General features: G+C 52.9%; 1 protein-coding gene across 28 annotated transcripts, besides 4 other annotated features; it reads right to left on the reverse strand.

Moving 5' to 3' along the window:
• Positions 50-24,531, reverse strand: DPH7 (diphthamide biosynthesis 7). 28 transcript variants are annotated; one of them, NM_001346380.2, is made up of 11 exons: positions 24,231-24,531; positions 23,076-23,209; positions 21,915-22,008; positions 21,686-21,773; positions 21,315-21,500; positions 20,358-20,449; positions 19,814-19,986; positions 10,691-10,760; positions 10,499-10,564; positions 10,040-10,212; positions 50-1,254 (listed from the first exon to the last, which is right to left on the reverse strand). In NM_001346380.2, exons 7-11 carry the CDS (start codon positions 19,923-19,925, stop codon positions 845-847), a joined length of 831 nt encoding a protein of 276 aa, NP_001333309.1. In that variant the 5' UTR covers positions 19,926-19,986; positions 20,358-20,449; positions 21,315-21,500; positions 21,686-21,773; positions 21,915-22,008; positions 23,076-23,209; positions 24,231-24,531; the 3' UTR covers positions 50-844. The 28 variants fall into 28 exon arrangements, with proteins under 28 accessions (NP_001333309.1, NP_001333308.1, NP_001333319.1 ...); NM_001346379.2 differs by having other exon boundaries at positions 20,358-20,452; NM_001346390.2 differs by adding an exon at positions 23,602-23,737 and having other exon boundaries at positions 20,358-20,452; positions 21,315-21,773.
• Positions 21,043-21,337: an enhancer, noted in NCBI's record as "tiled region #4489; HepG2 Activating non-DNase unmatched - State 15:Elon, and K562 Activating DNase matched - State 5:Enh". NCBI's record gives its function as "activates a minimal TATA promoter and a strong SV40 promoter by Sharpr-MPRA in HepG2 and K562 cells {active_cell/tissue: HepG2 | K562}" and the evidence as "EXISTENCE:reporter gene assay evidence [ECO:0000049][PMID:27701403]".
• Positions 21,043-22,076: a biological region, named in NCBI's record as "Sharpr-MPRA regulatory region 4489".
• Positions 21,267-22,076: an enhancer, noted in NCBI's record as "H3K4me1 hESC enhancer chr9:140470113-140470922 (GRCh37/hg19 assembly coordinates)". NCBI's record gives its function as "activates a minimal SCP1, AML or CMV promoter by ChIP-STARR-seq in naive H9 embryonic stem cells {active_cell/tissue: H9 hESC(naive)}" and the evidence as "EXISTENCE:reporter gene assay evidence [ECO:0000049][PMID:30033119]".
• Positions 24,217-24,626: a silencer, noted in NCBI's record as "silent region_20629". NCBI's record gives its function as "represses an Ori minimal core promoter by ATAC-STARR-seq in GM12878 lymphoblastoid cells {active_cell/tissue: GM12878}" and the evidence as "EXISTENCE:reporter gene assay evidence [ECO:0000049][PMID:35858748]".

The following is a 24,644-nucleotide window of genomic DNA, read 5'->3' on the forward strand; positions in this document are numbered from 1 at the left end:
CAAATGAAGCTGTGAGAGAAGGAATGAATCTGTAACTGGTTGTCCTCAATTATTGTTTATACAATTTTTTATTATTTAATTTTTAGAGATAAGAGTCTTGCTCTGTTGCCCCTGGCTCATTGCAGCCTCGACCTCCTGGGCTCAACAATCCTCCTGCCTCAGCCTCCCAAGTGGCTGGGACCATAGGCACATGCACCACACCTGGCTAATTTTTGTTTTACTTTTTATAGAGACTGGGTTTTGCTATGTTGCCCAGGCTGGTCTTGAACTCCAGGCCTCAAGCAATCCTCCTGCCTCAGCCCCTTCCAAAGTGCTGGGATTACAGGCCACTGTGACTGTGCTCAGTAGTTTTAATAATATATGCAACCCGTCACATGAGTTCAGCTGCGGGATTTTCCAAAAGTTTTGGGATTTTGGATTTTTGGACTGGCTGTGCTCAATCTATACAAGCATTTCTGGTGCCATGATGAGGCATAAAATGTTCATTTTAAACATGTTATAAACTCGTGTTTTTCAAAAAACTTCATTTAATACAAATAGTTGCTTAAACAAGTATGAAAGGCTGAAAGTCAAAATCTGCCTGAGAAACTTAACAAATCTGCAAGCTGGAAACCGCGTCTTTTCCCCACTCTCTGCCAGACAGAATCACCCAGTCCACTTTCAGGGGCCCAGCAGGGAAGCTGATTTAAGAGAAGTCAACAGCTTTTCTGACTACACTGTGGATTCCATCAGTGCACAGGCACCTGCAGGGCTGCAGTAAGCATCTCTGATGAGGTGGTCCCGGGCACTCACTCGCAGTCTCCCTCCTGGTTTCCTTGTGGGAAGGGGCTTCATGATTTCAAGCTCAGTTCCCCTCCCACTCCCAGAGGTGGAGCGCATGGTCATAGAAGGAGCAGGTGGCCAGGAGGCTGAAGGCTGAGTCTGCTTCTTCTGGGTTCACGCCACAGTCACGTGTGGTGGCTGCTGTAGCCTGCAGCCAGGTGCCATTCTTCCTCATGCCCTCTGTGAGTGGCTTCATTCCACTCTGGGGTCTGGCATGGCCCTCCCCATCGTTATCCTCTCTGCATTCATGACAGGGTGTTGGCAACTCGCTTGCACCCTTCAGGTCTGCCGTCTTGGTTCCTAGGTTGCTAGGAAAGGACCACGAGGGGGCCCGCTGCAGAGAACGGAAGAGCAGCCAGGACCAGTCGGCTCCATACACCAGCGAGTCGGGCAATGTGTGAGATGTCAGGACCGTCGCCTCCTGCCTCTCCTCTGGAGTGAGAGATGGGAGAACCCAGGAAACACAACATCACCCAGAGCCTCTCCCCAACCTGTCACACCTGACAGGGAGACTCCAAGAACAGCCCCTCACAGGTCAGCAAGTGTTTCCTGAGGAGCCGTTGTGTCATGCAAAGGAACCAGCAAGACCTGGGCATATGTTGGAGAAGAAACAGACCGTCATCTTGCAGTGCACACGCCTGTGTGCCTCCAAGAGAAGCATCAAGCGGGGCTACAGAACCTCACTTGATGGTGAAGAATACGGCAAAAGCCAGAGAGGGGGAAAGACCTCAGTTAACACTTAAAACCAAAGAACAAAGGAGTTTTAGCCAGCTGGGAAGGAAGGGGATGTCTGAGGAACAGGCAGCATGTGTACAGCAGAGGTGAGAAAGTCCAAGGCTCGCACGGGGAACCACAAACAGGCAGCCATGGCACTGTCAGTGAGTGACAGTGGGCTGGAGCGTCCCAAGCATGCAGGGTCCGGCACGCCCTGTTTCAGAGTCTGGATTCTGGCTTGGAAAGGAGCCACTGACAAGGTTAAGTGAGCAGTTTCTTTATAGAAGTTGCTACGGCAACTGGAAAGAGGCCACAACTGCCTCCCAGAGCACACAGCAACAGAGGGAATGACGAGGCGTGGCCAAACCCGAGGCGATCTGGAGTCCAGGAGGCAAGGCCAGGGCTGGCAGGGGCAGTTGCAGAGAGCAAGTGGAAGGTGAGCCAGGGGCTGCAAGGCTGGGTGGCCACTTGGGCTCTGAAAGGGCTGCCATCGCTACCTCTGAAGTACAGGGATTGATGCCAGCAGTGACCGGAATCAGAACCAGAATGAGTGCTGATGGAAGAAGGGCTGAGGGCAGAACAGGACCGCACTGGATTACAAAACGTGCCGAGGTTGTATGGGCCTGGGCCGGGGAGGCCCAACCCTGGGCCCAGGGCTTCAACTGGGCAGAGGTGGCTCCGAGGAGGAGTGAGATGCTGAATGTTCAGAGACAGCCACAGGGGCCCTCGAGCAGCATGTGTGGGGCGACCCTCGGGAGGAAGCCCCTGGGGAGGCCGTTACTGTCCCTTGGGAGGTAGCGTCACAGGGCAGGCAGGACCTCCGCTAGTCTTTCATCCAGCAATCGCTCAACACGTCCACTCGGGCCAGCAGGACCTCTTCTACAGCTTAGGAAAAGGTAATAAGGCAGAGTCTAAGCCCTCAGAGAGCCACAGCCTGGGAAAAAGACAGCGAATGAGTGGACGGAAGACACTGTTGCGACCCCAAGAATGGGAGGCCCTTTCTGATTAGCCACAGGCCAACGTTTCCTCCCTCTTTTTATTTTCAAGACAGGACCTCACTCTGTCGCATAGGCTGGAGTGCACTGACCTGGGCTCTGTCTTCCTGCCTCACCTCCTGAGTAGCTGCGACCATCATGCCCCCTAGTTTTTTCTATTTTTTGTGGCCACGGAGTCTCACTATGTTGTCCAGGCTAGTCTTGAACTCCCGGCTCAAGCAATCCGCCCACCCTTCCCAGAGTGCTGTGACTGCGAGTGTCAGCCACCGCACCCAGACAATACAAATTGTTTTAAAATTAGGCCGGGCGCGGTGGCTCACACCTGTAATCCCAGCACTTTGGGAAGCCAAGGCGGGTGGATCACAAGGTCAAGAGATCGAGACCATCCTGGTCAACATGGTGAAACCCCGTGTCTATTAAAAATACAAAAACTAGCTGGGTGTGGTGGCATGCACCTGTAGTACCAGCTACTCGGGAGGCTGAGGCAGCATAATTGCTTGAACGTGGGAGGTGGAGGTTGCATGAGCCAAGATCGTGCCACTGCACTCCAGCCTGGGTGAAAGAGCAAGACTCTGTCTCAAAAAAAAAAAATTGTTTAAATTAAAGATACAGGCTGGGTGCAGTGGCTCACGCCTGTAATTCCAGCACTTTGGGAGGCCGAGGCAGGTGGATCACATGAGGGCAGGAGTTTGAGAGCAGCCTGGGAAACATGGTGAAACCCCATCTCTACTAAAAGCACAAAAATTAGCCAGGCATGATGGCGCATGCCTGTAGTCCCAGCTACACAGGAGCCTGAGGCAGGAGAATCCCCTGAACCTGTGAGGTGGAGGTTGCAGTAAGCTGAGATCACCCCACTGCACTCCAGCCTGGGCGACAGAGCAAGACTCTGTCTCAAAAAAATACATAAATAAAGTTATGAAAAAGGCCAGCCGAGCACAGCGGCTCACGCCTGTAATCCTAACACTTTGGGAGGCCGAGGCGGGTTGATCACCTGAGGTCAGGAGTTCAAGACCAGCCTGACCAACATGGTAAAACCTCGTCTCTACTAAAAAATACAAAAATTAGCCAGGCGTGGTGGCACACACCTGTAATCCCAGCTACTCCGGAGGCTGCAGCAGGAGAGTTGCTTGAACCCGGAAGGTGGGAGTTGCAGTGAGCTGAGATTGTGCCATTGTATTCCAGCCTGGGAGACAGAGCAAGACTCCGTCTCAAAAAAGAAAGAAAAAGAAAAAAAGGCCTATACAGAGTACCTGACAAAACTGGCCTGGAATGTTGAACTCTCAGACCTGTCTTAGTTCACCTCTTCAACTTTAAGAACTGAAGGCTGGATGCAGTGGCTCAAGCCTGTAATCCCGACACTGAGGACTGAGTTGAGGCAGGAGGACTGCTTGTGTCCAGGTGGTCCGGGCTGCAGTGAGCTCTGACTCCACCACTGCGCTCCCACCTGGGTGACAGGACACAAGACCCTCTCTTTAAAAAAAAAACTAAAAACTCACCATAGCCAAAAGGTGAAAACAACCCAAATGTCCATCAGAGGATGAACAGACAGAATGTGGTCCATCATTACCTTCTTAAAAAGAGAATTCTGACACATGCTCCAACAGGGGTGAACCTTGAAAACGTTAAGCTATGTAAAGAAGCCGGATATAAAAAGACACACGATTCTACTTCCATGAAATATCTAGAAAAGGCAAATCCCCATAGACAGAGTAAACGGAGGTTATAGAGGCTGGGGGAGGGATGTTTGGGGTGATAGAAAAGTTTTGAAAATAAGTAGCAGTGATGATTGCACAGTATTTTGAATGTCTTCTTTTATTTTTTATTTTTTTTGAGACGGAGTGTCACTGTCGCCAGGCTGGAGCGCAGTGGCGTGATCTCGGCTCACTGCAACCTCCGCCTCCCAGGTTCAACCGATTCTCCTGACTCAGCCTCCCAAGTAGCTGGGACTACAGGCGCCCGACCTCAGGTGATCCGCCCGCCTCAGCCTCCCAAAGTGCTGGGATTACAGGCGTGAGACACTGCGCCCGGCCTTGAATGTCTTTAATACCACTAAATTGTGGGCGGCAAGCCACCCAGGCACCGAGGCAAGAGACCGAGGACATGAGCTGTTCCAGTAAAATAAAATATAAAACAAGAATAGTTATACCAGATATAGATCTTAGATAATGATTATATATGAATATCATTAATCATTAGTTGGTAGTAATTACTCTTTATCCCAATATTATAATAATCCTCGCTCTACAATCATAACCTAGGAAAAACCAGGCCATACAGAGATAGGAGCTGAGGGGACATAGTGAGGTGTGACCAGAAGACAAGAGTGCGAGCCTTCTGTTATGCCTGGACAGGGCCACCAGAGGGCTCCTTGGTCTAGCGGTGACGCCAGCATCTGGGAAGACGCCCGTTGCCAGGCGGACCATGGTCTAGCGGTAGCGAAAAATGTGAAGGAAAAACACCCGCTACTTAGCAGACCTGGAAAGGGAGTCTCCCTTTCCCCGGGGGAGTTTAGAGAAAACTCTGCTCCTCCACCTCTTGTGGAGGGCCTGACATCAGTCAGACCTGCCCGCAGTTATCCGGAGGCCTAACCGTCTCCCCGTGATGCTGTGCTTCAGTGGTCACGCTCCTTGTCCGCCTTCATGTTCCATCCTGTACACCTGGCTCTGCCTTCTAGATAGCAGTAGTCAATTAGTGAAAGTACTAAAAGTCTCTGGTATGCAGAAATAATAGCGTAAGCTGTCTTTCTCTCTCTCTCCTCTCCCTCTCTGCCTCGGCTGCCAAGCAGGGAAGGGCCCCCTGTCCAGTGGACACGTGACCCACGTGACCTTACCTATCATTGGAGATGACTCACACTCTTTACCCTGCCCCTTTTGCTTTGTATCCAATAAATAACAGTGCAGCCAAACATTCGGGGCCACTACCGGTCTCTGCACATTGGTGGTAGTGGTCCCCCGGGCCCAGCTGTCTTTTCTTTTATCTCTGTCTTGTGTCTTTATTTCTACACTCTCTCGTCGCCGCACACAGGGAGAAGCCCACTGACCCTGTGGGGCTGGTCCCTGCACTAAATTGCACACTTAAAGTGGCTAAAATCATGCATTTTATGTTACATAAATTTTATCACAATTTTTACAAAAGCAGTTAAAAGGCAGGAGACCCAGTGTGTGCCCAACAGACAATGCTGGAGTGTGTTTAAGAAACTCAAGCAAAGGAAATGCAAGTCAAGGGATTAATGGGCAAGTTCTCCTTCAATTATCAAGGCTACAGAGAAAAGTATCAAGTATTCAGAAGTCTAGGAAACACCACCGAGGGCCTCTCCTAAGCGTCTCTCAGGAGGCAAGCTCTATCCAAACAGGCGGTGGCTGGGAACAGCTGTCACCAGGATGGATGGGAGCACAACAAATAGTCAATTGCGAGCTGAGACTTAGGAAAAAACAGGTGGGGCAAGGACAGAAAAATAATATGTTAATGCTGTGTTCTGAGTAGGAAAAAATGCCATTAAGAATGGGAAGAGATGGCCAGGCGTGGTGGCTCATACCTGTAATCCCAGCACTTTGGGAGGCCGAGGCAGGCAGATCACAAAGTCAGGAGATCAAGACCATCCTGGCTAACACGGCGAAACCCTGTCTCTAATAAAAATACAAAAAATTGGCCAGGCAGGGTGGCTCACGCCTGTAATCCCAGCACTTTGGGAGGCCGAGGCGGGCGGATCACGAGGTCAGGAGATCAAGACCATCCTGGCTAACACGGTGAAACCCCGTCTCTACTAAAAATACAAAAAAAATTAGCCAGGTGTGGTGGTGGGCGCCTGTAGTCCCAGCTGCTCAGGAGGCTGAGGCAGGAGAATGGCGTGAACCCGGGAGGCGGAGCTTGCAGTGAGCCAAGATCCCACCACTGCACTCCAGCCTGGGTGACACAGTGAGACTCTGTCTCAAAAAAAAAAAAAAAAATTTGCCGGGCGTGGTGGTGGGCACCTGTAGTCCCAGCTACTCAGGAGGCTGAGGCAGGAGAATCGCTTGAACCCGGGAGGTGGAGGTTGCAGTGGGCCGAGATCGTGCCACTGCACTCCAGCCAGGGCAACAGAGCAAGACCCCATCTCAAAAAAAAAAAAAAAAAAAAGAAAAAAAGAAAATCACCATTTTGCCATTACCATAATTTATTCAAGCACCAATTGTCTCTGAATTGGGTAAAAGTCTGAAAAGGGAGTTATTGACACAGGTTCAAAGATTCTCACCACAGATTACTGATTAATCCCAAAGAGGAAAATAGTATCTCTTCAGTGAAGGGATTGGGGCAAACACCACCTTAACAAAGTGACCAAATTTCACAAAAATGGAACAATGTGGCATCATAGGCCCTTGATGTGAGGAACTAAGGAGGGCACAGCGCCACTTTCACAGGTTTCCTGGCAAAAATGCACGACCCCGGCCAACATGGTGAAACCTCGTCTCCAATAAAAATACAAAAATTAGCCAGGCGTGGTGGCAGGTGCCTGTATTCCCAGCTACTCGGGAGGCTGAGGCAGGAGAATGGCGGCGTGAACCCGGAAGGTGGAGGTTGCAGTGAGCCAAGATAGCGCCACTGCATTCCAGCCTGGGTGACAGAGCGAGACTCCATCTCAAAAAAAAAAAAAAAAAAAAGCATGACCCCATACCAAAGACTCGCCTCAGACTCAGGTGTGAACTGAAAGAGAATGAAAACGATGCATCACGCCACACTGAAGTGACTTTACCAATGCCAGACAAAACTGACTTTAAAACAAAAAATGTTACTAGATTTAAAGACAGACACTTTATATTGATAAAAGGGTCAGCACATCTGGAAGATACCAGAATTATAAACATATATAAAAGAGATCCCCAAAATACGTGAAGTAAAAACTGATGGAAACGAGGCTGGAAATACATAATTCTACAGTTAGAGTTGGAGGTAGCAATAGCCCACTTTCTTTTATTTTTTTGAGATGGAGTCTCGCTGTGTCTCCCAGGCTGGAGTGCAGTGGCGCGATCTCGGCTCACTGCAAGCTCCGCCTCCTGGGTTCACGCCATTCTCCTGCCTCAGCCTCCCAAGTAGCTGGGACTGCAGGCACCCACCACAGCGCCTGGCTAATTTTTTGTATTTTTAGTAGAGACGGGGTTTCACCATGTTAGCCAGGATGGTCTCGATCTCCTGACCTTGTGATCTGCCCACCTCAGCCTCCCAAAGTACTGGGATTACAGGCGTGAGCCACCGTGCCCAGCCAACAGACCACTTTCAATATTGCCCAGACAGGAGATTCAGTAAGGAACCAGAAGATCTGAACATTATAAAGCCGAGACCTCACAGGCACCTACAGGGCACTCCAGCCAACAGCAGCAGAACACACGTCCGCAAGTGCACAGGGGCACTCCCCAGCAGAGACCACACTCTAGGCCACAAAACTAATCTCAGTAAATTCAACAGGAATGCACAATGGAATAACATTAGAAATCGGTAACAGAAAGAAATGTGGGCACTTAAAAACATGTACATTAAACAACACACTCATAAATAACCAATGGTCGAAGAAAAAAACCACATGGGAAATTAGAAAGTACCTTGAGATGAATGAAAATAAAAATACAACATACCAAAATGTATGGGTTGCAGCAAAAGCAGTGCTCAGAGGAAAATGTATCACCATTAATAAAGAAAAAAGACCTCAAATTGTTTTAAGATGAGAAATATTATGGCTGGGCATGGTGGTCCCAGCTACTCGGGAGGCTGAGGTGGAAGGATGGTTTGAGCCCAGGGGCTGGGCACGGTGGCTCATGCCTGTACTTTGGGAGGCCAAGGTGGGCGGATCACCTGAGGTCAGGAGTTCAAGACCAGCCTGGCCAACGTGGTGAAACCCCGTCTCTACTAAAAATACAAAAATTAGCCAGGCGTGGTGGCACAAGCCTGTGATCCCAGCTACTCTGGAGGCTGAGGCAGGAGAATTGCTTGAAGCCAGGAAGCAGAGGTTGCAGTGAGACGAGATCACACCACTGTACACCATTCTGGGTGACAGAGCAAGACTCCATCTCAAAAAAAAAAGATCTCAAATTGTTTTAATACAAGAAATATTATGGCTTGGCATGGGGGTCCCAGCTACTCAGGAGGCTGAGATGGGAGGATGGTTTGAGCCCCAGGAGGTTGAGGCTGCAGTGAGCTACAATTGCACCACCACACTCCAGCCTGGGTGACAGAGCAAGACACCATCTCAAAACAAAACAAAAAACGATGAGAAATACAAAGCACATTCACAGAACTAACAGAAACAATACAGAAGAGATGGAGAAACTAAAGATGCAAAACACAGAGGAATACAGGCCAGGCACGGTGGCTCACGCCTGTAATCCTAACACTTCGGGAGGCCAAGGCAGGCGGATCACGAGGTCAGGAGTTCCAGACCAGCCTGACCAACATGGTGAACCCCCCATCTCTTCTAAAACTATAAAAATCAGCCAGGCATGGTGGTGGGTGCCTGTAATCCCAGCTACTTGGGAGGCTGAGGCAGGAGAATCGCTAGAACCCAGGAGGCGAAGGCTGTGGTGAGCCGAGATCGCACCACTGCACTCCAGCCTGGGTGACAGAGCAAGACTCCGTCTCAAAAAAAAAAAAAAAAAAGAGGAATACCATGCGGAAATCGAGTCAATCAAGTCCTTGAGTACAATCCAGTGCAGAGAAGAAACTGGCCTTGGGAACAGGTGTGGGTCACCCACCGCTGCAGAGGGCAGAGAGCATGTGGGTGGCCCGAGAGGCTGGTGGGCTTAATGGTGGGAAGATGAGGTGGTTTTGTGATTGCTTATTTTTGGAGTGAGGGGAGAGAGAAGAGGCGAAAGAGGAGAGATCATGAGCTGCAAGTCAGGAGGGAAGAGGAGGTCCTGGAGGTTTGAGCAGAGAGAAGAAAATGTGAACCAGTTCTGACAGTGGGGGATTACTGCCTAGAGAAATGTTACAGATCACCAGGAATCCCAGGGACCTACTAGAACACAACGTGGACAGCTGATTCCAGCCACGTTCTCCGGCTCAACCAGAATCAGAGGTGCTTGTTCCCAACAAAACAACACTGGGTTCTGCCCAGAGTGTGAGAAAGGGATGAAGGGAATGGAGTGTGAGCTCACAGGGGGCAGCAGACCACAGAGTCCCAGCTGACCACAGGCAGGAAGAGCATGGGAGAGCACAGACAAGGATGGTTATGGGAGTGATGGGTGGCCAAGCCTCCAGACTAGAGGTCCCAGTGGGGTCAGAGGTCTGCCGAAATGCAGGAGGCACCGGAATGACGGAGCTGGGAAACCAGGGAAAACTGTGGTTAGAGAGCAGAGATTCTGGAGCTGGGACAGTTATGGATCACGACCAAGTCTAGGGCGCGACGCTGGGAGTGTGTAAAAGCTGAGGGAAGAGCCCAGCAGAGCAAGGGAGCAGGGAGCTGAGGGAAGAGCCCAGCAGAGCGAGGGGGCAGGGAACTGGTGCCCTGCCCTGAGGCCCAGCAGCCACGGGTCCCCACTCACCCATTGCCTTTTGGCAGTTGAGGATCTTAAAGCCACTGTGCATGCAGGCGGCCAGGAGCAGGTGGTGGTGGAAAGGGTGCCACTTGATTCTCCATACCCCACCCTGCACAGGCGTATCTGCCAACGGCTGCTTCATGTTTCGTGTGTCCCACAGTAGGATGTGTTCATCATAGCTGAAACCGACCAACCACAGGAGGCATATAAGGAAAGCCCAGGCTCACCTGTTCCACAAGGCCCCTGGGGGGCACAGAACGTCTCCCAGAGACCTGTCCCATGCATCCCTCGAGGACAAAGTCCCCTTTACCAAACCCATATACCTACACTCCGGCGAAGCACTGGCAGACGAAATGCTGCAATGGTGCCAGGAGGAAAGGCAGCGAAAGAGGGAAGAAGGGCCCAGGAGCCCCCCGGGGACAGCGAAAGAGACGAGAAGGGCCCGAGAGCCTCCTGGGGACTCACCTTCCCGTGGCCAGGATGTGCTCCCGATGAGGGCTGCTCTGGATGCTGCACACACCCATGGTGTGTCTGCAAGCAGAGGCGGCTTCTGAACCAGTGTCCAGCACACAGACCCACCCAGGGAACGGGAGGGCTGGTGACCCAGGGAACGCGGGGGCTGGTGTGGGCACCGAGTGCTGGCCCTTGGGCAGTTACCTTTTGCTGGTGAAGAGAAATTTGCCGGGTACCCTGGTGTCCCAGCCCCTCAGAAGGCCATCGTCGCCCCCTGTGTGGAGAAAGAGAAGCATCAACACCACTAATGACAGGAAATGAGTGTTCTCAGTTAGGCCGTTGATGTCTGTGAGGAAGCTCCCCGGGGTGACTGTCTGTGAGGAAGCTCCCCGGGGTGACTCTGTCTGTGAGGAAGCTCCCCTGGGTGACTGTCTGTGAGGAAGCTCCCCGGGGTGACTGTCTGTGAGGAAGCTCCCCTGGGTGACTCTGTCTGTGAGGAAGCTCCCCTGGGTGACTCTGTCTGTGAGGAAGCTCCCCTGGATGACTCTGTCTGTGAGGAAGCTCCCCTGGGTGACTGTCTGTGAGGAAGCTCCCCTGGGTGACTGTCTGTGAGGAAGCTCCCCGGGGTGACTCTGTCTGTGAGGAAGCTCCCCTGGGTGACTCTGTCTGTGAGGAAGCTCCCCTGGGTGACTCTGTCTGTGAGGAAGCTCCCCTGGGTGACTCTGTCTGTGAGGAAGCTCCCCTGGGTGACTCTGTCTGTGAGGAAGCTCCCCTGGGTGACTCTGTCTGTGAGGAAGCTCCCCTGGATGACTCTGTCTGTGAGGAAGCTCCCCTGGGTGACTCTGTCTGTGAGGAAGCTCCCCTGGGTGACTCTGTCTGTGAGGAAGCTCCCCGGGGTGACTCTGTCTGTGAGGAAGCTCCCCGGGGTGACTCTGTCTGTGAGGAAGCTCCCCGGGGTGACTGTCTGTGAGGAAGCTCCCCTGGGTGACTGTCTGTGAGGAAGCTCCCCTGGGTGACTCTGTCTGTGAGGAAGCTCCCCTGGGTGACTCTGTCTGTGAGGAAGCTCCCCGGGGTGACTGTCTGTGAGGAAGCTCCCCTGGGTGACTCTGTCTGTGAGGAAGCTCCCCTGGGTGACTGTCTGTGAGGAAGCTCCCCTGGGTGACTCTGTCTGTGAGGAAGCTCCCCTGGGTGACTGTCTGTGAGGAAGCTCCCCTGGGTGACTCTGTCTGTGAGGAAGCTCCCCTGGGTGACTCTGTCTGTGAGGAAGCTCCCCTGGGTGACTGTCTGTGAGGAAGCTCCCCTGGGTGACTCTGTCTGTGAGGAAGCTCCCCTGGGTGACTCTGTCTGTGAGGAAGCTCCCCGGGGTGACTGTCTGTGAGGAAGCTCCCCTGGGTGACTCTGTCTGTGAGGAAGCTCCCCTGGGTGACTGTCTGTGAGGAAGCTCCCCTGGGTGACTCTGTCTGTGAGGAAGCTCCCCTGGGTGACTCTGTCTGTGAGGAAGCTCCCCTGGGTGACTGTCTGTGAGGAAGCTCCCCTGGGTGACTCTGTCTGTGAGGAAGCTCCCCTGGGTGACTCTGTCTGTGAGGAAGCTCCCCGGGGTGACTCTGTCTGTGAGGAAGCTCCCCGGGGTGACTCTGTCTGTGAGGAAGCTCCCCGGGGTGACTCTGTCTGTGAGGAAGCTCCCCGGGGTGACTCTGTCTGTGAGGAAGCTCCCCTGGATGACTCTGTCTGTGAGGAAGCTCCCCTGGGTGACTCTGTCTGTGAGGAAGCTCCCCTGGGTGACTCTGTCTGTGAGGAAGCTCCCCTGGGTGACTCTGTCTGTGAGGAAGCTCCCCTGGATGACTCTGTCTGTGAGGAAGCTCCCCTGGGTGACTCTGTCTGTGAGGAAGCTCCCCTGGGTGACTCTGTCTGTGAGGAAGCTCCCCGGGGTGACTCTGTCTGTGAGGAAGCTCCCCGGGGTGACTCTGTCTGTGAGGAAGCTCCCCGGGGTGACTGTCTGTGAGGAAGCTCCCCTGGGTGACTGTCTGTGAGGAAGCTCCCCTGGGTGACTCTGTCTGTGAGGAAGCTCCCCTGGGTGACTCTGTCTGTGAGGAAGCTCCCCTGGGTGACTCTGTCTGTGAGGAAGCTCCCCTGGGTGACTCTGTCTGTGAGGAAGCTCCCCGGGGTGACTCTGTCTGTGAGGAAGCTCCCCTGGGTGACTGTCTGTGAGGAAGCTCCCCTGGGTGACTCTGTCTGTGAGGAAGCTCCCCTGGGTGACTCTGTCTGTGAGGAAGCTCCCCTGGGTGACTCTGTCTGTGAGGAAGCTCCCCGGGGTGACTCTGTCTGTGAGGAAGCTCCCCGGGGTGACTGTCTGTGAGGAAGCTCCCCTGGGTGACTGTCTGTGAGGAAGCTCCCCTGGGTGACTCTGTCTGTGAGGAAGCTCCCCTGGGTGACTCTGTCTGTGAGGAAGCTCCCCTGGGTGACTGTCTGTGAGGAAGCTCCCCTGGGTGACTCTGTCTGTGAGGAAGCTCCCCTGGGTGACTCTGTCTGTGAGGAAGCTCCCCTGGGTGACTCTGTCTGTGAGGAAGCTCCCCTGGGTGACTCTGTCTGTGAGGAAGCTCCCCGGGGTGACTGTCTGTGAGGAAGCTCCCCTGGGTGACTGTCTGTGAGGAAGCTCCCCTGGGTGACTCTGTCTGTGAGGAAGCTCCCCTGGGTGACTCTGTCTGTGAGGAAGCTCCCCTGGGTGACTCTGTCTGTGAGGAAGCTCCCCTGGGTGACTGTCTGTGAGGAAGCTCCCCTGGGTGACTCTGTCCGTGAGGAAGCTCCCCGGGGTGACTCTGTCCGTGAGGAAGCTCCCCGGGGTGACTCTGTCTGTGAGGAAGCTCCCCTGGGTGACTCTGTCTGTGAGGAAGCTCCCCTGGGTGACTCTGTCTGTGAGGAAGCTCCCCTGGGTGACTCTGTCTGTGAGGAAGCTCCCCTGGGTGACTCTGTCTGTGAGGAAGCTCCCCGGGGTGACTCTGTCTGTGAGGAAGCTCCCCGGGGTGACTCTGTCTGTGAGGAAGCTCCCCGGGGTGACTCTGTCTGTGAGGAAGCTCCCCGGGGTGACTCTGTCTGTGAGGAAGCTCCCCTGGGTGACTCTGTCTGTGAGGAAGCTCCCCTGGGTGACTGTCTGTGAGGAAGCTCCCCTGGGTGACTCTGTCTGTGAGGAAGCTCCCCTGGGTGACTCTGTCTGTGAGGAAGCTCCCCTGGGTGACTCTGTCTGTGAGGAAGCTCCCCGGGGTGACTCTGTCTGTGAGGAAGCTCCCCTGGGTGACTCTGTCTGTGAGGAAGCTCCCCTGGGTGACTGTCTGTGAGGAAGCTCCCCTGGGTGACTCTGTCTGTGAGGAAGCTCCCCTGGGTGACTCTGTGAGGAAGCTCCCCTGGGTGACTCTGTCTGTGAGGAAGCTCCCCTGGGTGACTGTCTGTGAGGAAGCTCCCCTGGGTGACTCTGTCTGTGAGGAAGCTCCCCTGGGTGACTCTGTCTGTGAGGAAGCTCCCCTGGGTGACTCTGTCTGTGAGGAAGCTCCCCTGGGTGACTCTGTCTGTGAGGAAGCTCCCCTGGGTGACTCTGTCTGTGAGGAAGCTCCCCTGGGTGACTCTGTCTGTGAGGAAGCTCCCCTGGGTGACTGTCTGTGAGGAAGCTCCCCTGGGTGACTCTGTCTGTGAGGAAGCTCCCCGGGGTGACTCTGTCTGTGAGGAAGTTCCCCTGGTGACTTTGCTGGAGGAGTCTTAGGTTGCCACCTCAACAGGAGGTCCCAGAAACAACCCCCAGGAAAGTCATCACTGTGCCTTGACTCTCTAGAGACTGGAAGCAGGAGGGGAAAGACGGACGGGAACAGAAAGAAGCCTGCAGGAACAGAAGGGAGGAAATGGAAACTGAAGGGGCCCTGAAGGCCATCAGGTGCAGGCGACCATTGTTCACAGGGGCCGTTACTAGGTCCTAGGGGCTAAACTGCCTTTGCTAAGGGCTCCAGTGAATAAAGCCCTGGCTTCTAAGAAGAAGAGTTGCCAGATCAGAGCCCTGAACAGAAACTGCACACAGGAGGCAGCAAGCACAAGGACTCCACACCATGCACCTGAAAGGAAGGTGCCCTCTGTCATCTTAAAGCACTTGTTTAGGGGAACGAAAAGGATGGGAGAAGAGAGGAGTTGGTGCACTGAACCACAACCAATCTTCCAAGAAAAGCAATGCAGACATGGGGTGAATGGTGGCACCTGAAGGAAGGGAAGCTCAAGAGCAGGGCCCACAGGGAGAGTGAAGAAGATCAGAAGGAAAACGTCTAGGCCTAACCACATCACCCACCCCTGCATCATCCAGCTCCCACTACCCACCCACCTTCCATCCATCTCACCATCTATCCACCCCCCGACCTCACCCTATCCAAAATTCCACCATCCATCCACCCATGCCCCCACCCACCCCCCACCCACCTTCCATCCATCTACCCACTATCCATCCAACAATCCACCATCCATCCACCACCCACCACCCACCACCCACCATCCAAAAATCCATCCATCCACCCACCATCCATCCATCCAGCCAGCCAGTCACTCACCCACCATCCATCCATCCATCCATCCAACAATCCACCATCCATCGACCCACCCGCCCTCCCACCTTCCATCCAACAATCTACCATCCATCCACCCACCACCCACCACCCAAAAATCCATCCATCCACCCCCCGTCTATCAAGCCAGCCAGCCAGCCACTCACCCACCATCCATCCATCCAACAATCCACCATCCATCCACCATCCACCACCCACGACCCACCACCCACCACCCACCATCCAAAAATCCATCCATCCACCCATGATCCATCCATCCATCCATCCATCCATCCATCCATCCAACAATCCACCATCCATCTATCCAGTCACTCACCATCTATCCACGCCACCACCACCACCATCCAAAAATCCACCATCCATCCACCACACACCCACCAACTCATCCACCCACCATCCATCCATCCATCCATCCACACGCCCTCCCACCCACCATCCATCCACTCACCCACTATCTATCCAAACTCTACCACCCACCATCCAAAAATCCATCCATCCAGTCATCCACCATCCATCCATCCAGTCACCCACCATCTATCCACCCCACCACCACCCACCATCCAAAAATCCACCATCCATCCACCACAAACCCACCCACTCACTCATCCACCCACCATCCATCCATCCATCCACCCACACGCCCTCCTACCCACCATCCACCCACCCACCCACCACCCATCAAATAGGTACTTGCTGAACACACACTATGGACCCTCATAATAGACACTACGGATACACAGTGAACATGACCTACAGTTAAATGAACCAGCGGAATCAGCTGACCTAGGCATGAAGCCTGCAGATGAGCCTCAAGTATGAGCTGCCATTCTGTGGCAAATTTGTACAGAGTAGGCAAAGGCTTCTTTATACGTGAGTCTCTCCACTCTCGCATGCCCCACATATCCACTCCATCAGGAAATCTGACTGGATATACCTTCACTTCTATCCAGAACCCAACCACTGGTCCTCACCTCCACTACTCCAAACCTGCTCTGGGCTGTCTCATCACCTGCCCAATGTCAAGTCTCCAGGCTGTGTCCCTCCCTCTTGTGGTCTAGACTCACATTCACCAAAGAGGTCATCGCAAATTTTAAAATGCAAGTCAGAATCTGTCATTCCTCTGCTCAACATCCTGCAACAGCTCCCATTTCATTCTGAGTAGGAAACAAAGTCCTTCCTGGAGCCTGCACGGCCCTGTGCCCTGGCCCATTACCTCTGATTTCACCCTCTTCTATTCCGCTACTGCCTCAGGTCATCCTAACCATGCTGGCTACTGGCTACTCTTCTGCCATAGCAGGGCCACTCCTGCCTTAGGACCACTGCCCACCCTGACCATGCTCTCCAACAGTATAATCTGCACCTGCTCCCAGCACCCTTGGTCCCCTCTCACCTCCTTCTACCTTCTTTCCAAAGCACTCATTGCCCCTGACAGGCCATGCAGTCTCCTTCCCTATTACATATTATGCCTTGTGTTTACTGTCTGTCTCCCCGCCACAGAATGTAAGCTGGGTGAAAGCAGGGACTTTTATGTGAAAATCAGCCAGGTGTGGTAACTCACACCTGTAGTCCCAGCTACTCAGAAGGCTGAGGCAGGAGGATCGCTTGACCCTGGGAGGTTAAGGCTGCCGTGACCTGTGGTCACGCCATTGCACTCCAGCTTGGGTGACACAGCAAGACGTGAACCACCCACCCCATCCTCAAAATGTATTTATATAAATAAATTTTTTTTTTTTGAGACAGAGCCTTGCTCTCTCGCCAGGCTGGAGTGCAGTGGTGCGATCTCGGCTCACTGCAACCTCTGCCTCCCGGGTTCAAGCAATTCCACTGTCTCAGCCTCCCGAGTAGTTGGGACTACAGGCGCCTGCCACCATGCCCGGCTAATTTTTTGTATTTTAATAGAGATGGGGTTTCACCATGTTGGCCAGGATGGTCTTGATCTGCTGACCTCATGATCCGCCCATCTTGGCCTCCTAAAGTGCTGGGATTACAGGTGTGAGCCACCGCGCCTGGCCTATATAAATAATTTTTTTAAGAAGGCTGAGTGCAGTGGCTGACGCCTATAATCCCAACACTGGGAGGCTGAGGCAGGTAGATCGCTTGAGCCTAGGCATTCGAGACCAGCCTGGGCAACATGGTAAAACCGCATCTCTACTAAAAATACAAAAATTAGCCGGGCATGGCGGCAGGTGCCTATAATCCCAATTACTCAGGAGGCTGAGGCAGGAGAATCACTTGAACCCAGGAGGTGGAGGTTGCAATGAGCCAAGATTGTACCACTGCCCTCCAGCCTGGGCAATAAGAGCGAAACTCCATCTCAAAATAAATAAATAAATAAAAATAATAAAACTTAAAAAAGAAAGCAGGACTTTTGTCTGTTTAGTTTGCTAAAGTATTCTAATCACCTAGAATAGGGCTCAGCACATAGCATTTGTTGAAAGAATGAATCAGTCCAGAATTATTCAATCATTGCCCTACGGTACCTTTGCTCTGAATTAGCTCAAGGTAGAAGAACCAACCCAAGGAGAGACCTCAAGAAATGAGATCTTTATGGCTCTCAGACGGTTCAAGGCTGTGACAATGAGCAACACAAATAAGAACGCCGCCTTACACACGTGCTCGTCACTCGGACAAGCAGAGGCAGCGTGAGCCACGGCGGAGGTGAGGCCTGCCTGGGGTGGAAGGACAGCTGCTCTGCGTCAGTCTTCTAAGGACAAGATTTTAAGCTGGGCATGTCAAAAAAGCAGAATTCACCCATGAAGGAAACATCCCGTGACGAAACCCTGAGACTGAGGGAATGTGGACTATTTCAGGAAAAGGTGACTGAGAGCATAGGAGCCAAAACAAGGCCGGAGAAGCAGGCGTGGACCAGATTCCACAGGCCTTGGGTAATCGCATCACTATTTTGGATTTTATCCTCAATGAAACAGGAACTGTGAGGGGTTCTAACAATGAGTGAGATGCGATAAAGTGTGTGTGTTTTTAAAACACTTGCTTGGCTACTGTGTGGAGACTGGAACAGTCAGGAATGAAGGCAGGGCCATCACTTGCTGCTCTGCTGTAACAAACTAGATGAGACAGTGGCCCGGATGGGTAGCAGCAGGGAAGGGTCAGATCTTTTCTTCGGCTGTTTGCAAATTCAGCAGCTCCTCTTCTGTCTTTTCTCAGAGACCCGCCCCTCTCACCTGCCATGAGTTATCTCTACCTGGGAAAGAGATGCTAGCCAAAGCTACCTCCTTCCTGGAAACACCAGTTGTTAATTTCTCACTCCCACATCAGCATGCCCCAAATGCAAACCATTCACAAGACCTGGAAAGGAATCTTATTTCTCTCATGCTTCCTTTATTTCTGGAAGATAAACTATATCCAAAAAGGGTGCAGACAAACTTGAAATCCAACATGGCGAAGTCACTATTGTATCCACAGGTATCAGGCAAAAAGCACAGAAACTGGACTTCCAGTAAAAGCATAAAGGATCTGACACCGAGCATATCAGGGAGGCAGGATGGCTCTGCCCACAGGTGCCTGCTCCTCCAACACCCTGGCCAACACCACCCAAGACCCTGCACTGCCTGAGGCAAGCTATACTTTGCTCTCTAAAGAATAAGTGGGCGGGGCAAGGTGGCTCACGCCTGTAATCCCAGCACTTTGGGAGGCCGAGGCGAGTGGATCACGAGGTCAGGAGATCAAGACCACCCTGGCTAACACAGTGAAACCCCGTCTCTACTAAAAATACAAAAAATTAGCCGGGCGTGGTGGCGGGCACCTGTAGTCCCAGTTACTCGGGAGGCTGAGGCAGGAGAATGGCGTGAACCTGGGAGGCGGAGCTTGCAGTGAGCCGAGATCGCGCCACTGCACTCCAGCCTAGGCAACAGAGCAAGACTCCATCTCAAAAAAAAAAAAAAAAAAAAAAAGAATAGCTAAGTGGGCCGGGTGCAGTGGCTCACACCTGTAATCCCAGCACTTTGGGAGGCCGAGGCGGGAGGATCACGAGGTCAGGAGATCGAGACCATCCTGGCTAACACGGTGAAACCCCATCTCTCTAAAAAAAAAACTACAAAAAATTAGCTGGACATGGTGGCGGGTGCCTGTAGTCCCAGCTACTCAAGAGGCTGAGGCAGGAGAATGGCGTGAACCCAGGAGGCAAAGCTTGCAGTGAGCTGAGATTGCATCACTGCACTCCAGCCTGGGCAACAGAGTGAGACTCTGTCTCAAAAAAAAAAAAAAAAAAAAAAAAAAAAGAATAGCTAAGTGATGAGCGCCAACTATAGCCTTTGTTCCAGAAAGTACATTCTCCAAAAAAGAAAAAAAATAGTGGCCAGGCGCAGTGGCTCACACCTGTAATCCCAACACTTTGGGAGGCTGAGGTGGGCGCATCATGAGGTCAGGAGATAGAGACCAGCCTGACCAACATGGTGAAACCCTGTCTCTACTAAAAACACAAAAATTAGCTGGGTGTGGTGGCAGGCGCCTGTAATCCCAGCTACTTGGGAGGCTGAGGCAGTAGAATCGCTTGAACCTGGGAGGTGGAGATTGCAGTAAGCCAACATCGTGCCACTGCACTCTAGCCTGGCAAAAGAGCAAGACTCAGTTTCAAAAAAAAAAGTACACTTTCCATAAAAGGTCTTCAAGATCCCAACATAACTGGAATCACAGCTGTGGCACAGGCCTCCCTCTCTCCCTCCGCCCCTTCCTCAGCAAGCCTTCCATCAGAGGTGACCGGTGGAGGAATACTGACCTGAATACACAATTTCTGGATGCCAGTAATTGAAAGCAGCAATCCAGGCCTCGAATTGATGTGCCTGCCATGAGGCCACTTTCTGCAGCCTGGGCCTCGTCTCATTCACCATCAGGAGGTGGAGCTGCCCTGTGGAGTCACTGCTGATGATCTTCAAGGGCTGGTCCCCGGCCCTAGACACAGGGAACCCATGAAGAAGCCCGGCAGAATGTTATTCGTCAGCCTCTTCTGGTTCCCAAACAAGTCCTGAGAGACGGTCTCCACAGCCCTGGGATGCGGATATGCCCCTTAAGAGACTGGCGGCTAAGATCACAACCACTGCTAAGCTTGTCAAAGACACCAGTGTCGACTTCTCTAGGTAAAAACACTATCGCTATGTATCTAAAATGGGGGACCTTTTTTTCATAATAGGACTGGCAGTGATGATGTCAGGGCTGAGGAGCACAGTCGCAGCTCGCTGAAGGTGGCTGGAGCCCTCTAGCCTGAAAAGTGGAAGTGGTTCTCAGAGAAAGACTCAGGACCCCTGACCAAGCCTGGCCCTTACCTTCCAGTTTTCCCAGTGGACCAATCTAGGGACAAAGCCAGACACTGCTCCTCCAGGGCAAGGCTGGACAATGGCTCCAGCACGTGGCTCTTCTACTGGAGAAGAAGAAACTCCATCAAAGGGAAGTAGCCGCCCCAGAACCCCCAAAAGACTTTTCCTCTCCTGCAGGGAAGTCATCGTTCCCTCATTTACAACCTATGCGAATGAAGTACATCAGTCACTGAGTCACACCTCCACCTAACACTGAAACCCCTGCTAGGGGCCCCGAGAAGACCTGGGGACACTGGAGCTCACACTCCTCACACTTGCAGGACAACTTTCCCACAGGCTTGATCTTGGGGCATGGTCTCCCTCCCTTTCACACCCCCTTGCCATCCTTGCGCTCCTAGATGCTGTCGAGATGCCTGTGCAGGCTCCAGACCACAGTGGCACACACAGTTTCCCACCCCAGGCCTCCAGGGCCACTGGAACACTCGCCTCCCGAGACAGAGACAATGGGGAAACTCCTCTGGTTTCCACTTCAGAAGCCGCGAGCAGCCATGAGAACGTGGTTGCTCTTTATGCAGATCTATATAAATTTCATTTCCTAAACAGCCTGGCCAGTGCTTAACTCCATCCCTGCTCCCAGCAGGCTGCTGTACCAAAGCCCTTTCCTGGGTTCATGCACTCCTCCCTTGGGCCCACAGCTTTCCTGTGGCTGCTCTTTCCCTCCTTTCTAAGACAGGGCAACTGCTCTAAGCTGCCTTAAGCAAGGCCTTTTCCTACACAGGCCCTCGGTTGGCCCAGCCCCGCCTGCAGCATCTGCATCGGAGTGAGGGCGTGGTTTCAGGCTGTTTACATCACCCCACTACGGGACATCCCCGTTCTCCTCCCCGACAGCTATCAGATGAAGTCACTTTGTTAATGCATGGCTCCAGAGCACTGTGAGAAACTCGGAAAAATTCACACAGGACTCACGTGCTTTTCCAATAATCAGTGAGAAATGCCATCTTCACACAGGATGCTCACTGCTACTCTGGGCCCCAGCATCAACCTAAGAATGCTTGCCCAGGCTCTCCTTAGAGAACTTTCAGATCCACTGACAGGTCAATGAACATCCTGTCACTTCAGCCCTTCTGCTGGTGACACATGAGGTGACTTCCTCTTGGAGTTGGATGTAGAACGCAATACAACTTAAAAATAGACTCCACATTATCTTAGAACGTTTATATATAGCTCACCATTGAAGAGAGATCGTTTTAGAAAAATGTCTGTATCAGCACAGCCTCCTCCCCAACCCTCTCTATTCAGGTCCCTTCTGCCCCACAGAACAAGTGCAAGTCACTGACCTCAGATTCCACCAGGCGGAGCAGTTGTATGGATCCACTGGCATCTGCCAAGCCCAAGAGGGCATGTCCAGCCACCGGGATGTGACACCTGAGGAGAGGGCCCACCATAAGCACACCAATGTGCCCGGAGCACAGGCGTGCACTGTGCGTCCCGGTAACCACAGTCACGCTTCCCTTAACAACGGGGCTGCAGTCCACGCAAACCCAGCTGGGACATCCTACTACACACCTTGATTATATGGTATGGCCCACTGCTCCTATGCCACAAACCTTACAGCATGTTACTGCAGGCAAGTGTGACACAACAGGAAGTGGTTGTATATCTAAACATAGAAAAGATACAGTAAGAATACAATATAAAGGATAAAAAACAGGTGGCCGGGCATGGTGGCTCACACTTGTAACCCCAACACTTTGGGAAGCTGAGGTAGGAGGATGACTTGAGGTAAGGAGTTCGAAACCAGCCTGAGCAACATAGCAAGACCCTGTTTCTACAAACTAACAAACAAACAAAAATGAGGTGTGGTAAGGCCAGGCGTCGTGGCTCACGCCTGTAATCCCAGCACGTTGGGAGGCTGAGGCGGGTGGATCACGAGGTCAGGAGATCAAGACCATCCTAATAACATGGTGAAACCACGTCTCTACTAAAAATACAAAAAAATAAGCCGGGTGTGGTGGCGGGCGCCTGTAGACCGAGCTCTTAGGGAGGCTGACGCAGGAGAATGGCGTGAACTCAGGAGGCGGAGCTTGCAGTGAGCCGAGACCGCGCCACTGCACTCTAGCCCGGGCGACAGAGCGAGACTCCGTCTCAAAAAAAAAAAAAAGAGGCATGGTGGCATCTACCTGAAGTCTGAAGTCTCAGCTACTCGAGAGGCTGAGACAGAGAATTGCTTGAGCCCAGGAGTTCAAGGCTGCAGTGAGCTATGATCACGTGACTGCATTCCAGCCTGGGCAACGGAACAAAACCCTGCCTCAAAAAAAAAAAAATTAAAAAGGATAAAAACTGGTACACCTGTATAGGGCATCTCCATTACGTTAAGGCACCACCATGGTATACGTGCTCCATTGTTGACCAAAACATAATTATGCCACACACCACTGCATTTAAATCTCAGCTCCAAAAGTGGGCTAGAGCCTACAACTGTGTTCTCAAACAAAAGACGCCCCAGGTTATGAAGTCAGAAAACTCCCATCACTTCCCCGGCTGGAACATGACAAAGGAAATAAGCCCCAGGTAAAGCACTCCCCAGGTGGAAGATAGGCGGGACAGCAAAGAAACAAATCCAAAGTTGAGATGCAATGCCTGTCTTGTTGAAGGCATCAGGCATCAGGCTTCCCTGATTGCTACTCATGACAAATTCTACACCCAGTGGGATTATCACAGTTATACCATTTCATGTCCAGGATTGCAGAAGTATCTTTTCTTTGGACCTCGACCAGAGGGTGAATAGAGTTGTTGTCATTGAAACTGTACAGGAAGAGACGGCCTAAACGGACCTGAGGCTCCTTAACTTCCATTCCACCCTACAAAAAATGCAGAGGTAGTCTCTGATTATCCCAAGACACGAAGGAACCCAAAGGATGGGAAAAGGGATCCAAGGAACTCAAAGGTTTGCCATGACTAAAGGAGTGGAATTCTGCCTGGAAGGAGAACCTCTGGTTTTCTGAGCTGGAGAAACGTCTATTAATGAGTAGGTGAACACTCCTGGACCCAGTAGAGAAGGCTCCTTCTAAACCGGCCAACAGGGACCAGCTATGGCTAGGGTAACCACAGAACCCAGTTTGCCTGGGACAGTCCTGACTTACGCCTGTTGTTCCAGTGCCCAATTTGGATCCTAATATGTACCCACCAGAAGTTAAGATATAATTCCCACTTTCTCTTTACTGTACATTCCACCCATTCCCTTGGGCCACACCTGTATATAGAAGACGTTCTGCTCTCAAGATTTTAAAGTTGGCCGGGGGCGGTGGCTCGTGCCTGTGGTGCCAGCTACTCAGGGGGTTGAGGCGGGAGGATGCCCTGAGCCCTGGAGTCCGAGGCTGCACTCCAGCCTGGGTGACAGTGCAAGACCTTGTCTCAGAAAAAAGTAATTTCTTTTTTTTGAGATGTAGTCTTGCTGTATCGCCCAGGCTGGAATGCAGTGGTGCGATCTCGGCTCACTGCAAGCTCTGCCTCCCGGGTTCACGCCATTCTCCTGCCTCAGCCTCCCGAGTGGCTGGGACTACAGGCGCCGCCACCACGCCCGGCTAATTGTTTTGTATTTTTTTAGTAGAGACGGGGTTTCACCATGTTAGCCAGGATGGTCTCGATCTCCTGACCTCGTGATCCGTCCGCCTCGGCCTCCCAAAGTGCTGGGATTACAGGCGTGAGCCACTGCGCCCGGCCGAGAACAATTTTTTTAAAAAGATTCTAAACTGTTTCCAGCCTACCTCCTGGCCAAAGGGCCAATATCCCCTCTTCATCTCCTGGGCGATTCGGTGCGCCTTTCGGCCTCAACCTCGTGGCCGGCCCCGCCCTCCCCTCCCGAAGCCGCGGCGCGCGCACCTTGTTCTGGGGGCCGGCAGGCCGGTCCTCCGGCCGCCGCAGCTGGTAGGTCCCGCACGCCAGCAGGTGCCTGCAGCCTTGCAGCGGGCACCACTCCACCGAGTCCGCGGTCAGCTCGGTGTCCACCGTTTGCAGGGCGAAACAGCCCATCATCCAGCCCTCGGGGAAGGGCGCGGAGCCGGCAGTAGAGGCGGGTCGGCGGGGCCGGGCTGGGTACTGCGCGGGGCGGCGAGGCCGGGGCCGGCCGGACGAGCGCAGAGCCCCAGGGACACCGTCAGCGCGGGCCGCCTCTCTCGCGACTCCTTCCGGGGTGCCGGGGCGGGACATCCGGCAGGGCCTTGGCCTCCGTGGACGCCCCTGGGAAGCCAGGCTCCCACGCCCCCTGTCGGCCGGCTGACCGCGGCGGGCTTCAGG

The sequence above is a fragment of the Homo sapiens genome, chromosome 9 (genome assembly GCF_000001405.40).
Source record: "Homo sapiens chromosome 9, GRCh38.p14 Primary Assembly".
NCBI classification, from domain to species: Eukaryota; Metazoa; Chordata; class Mammalia; order Primates; family Hominidae; genus Homo; species Homo sapiens.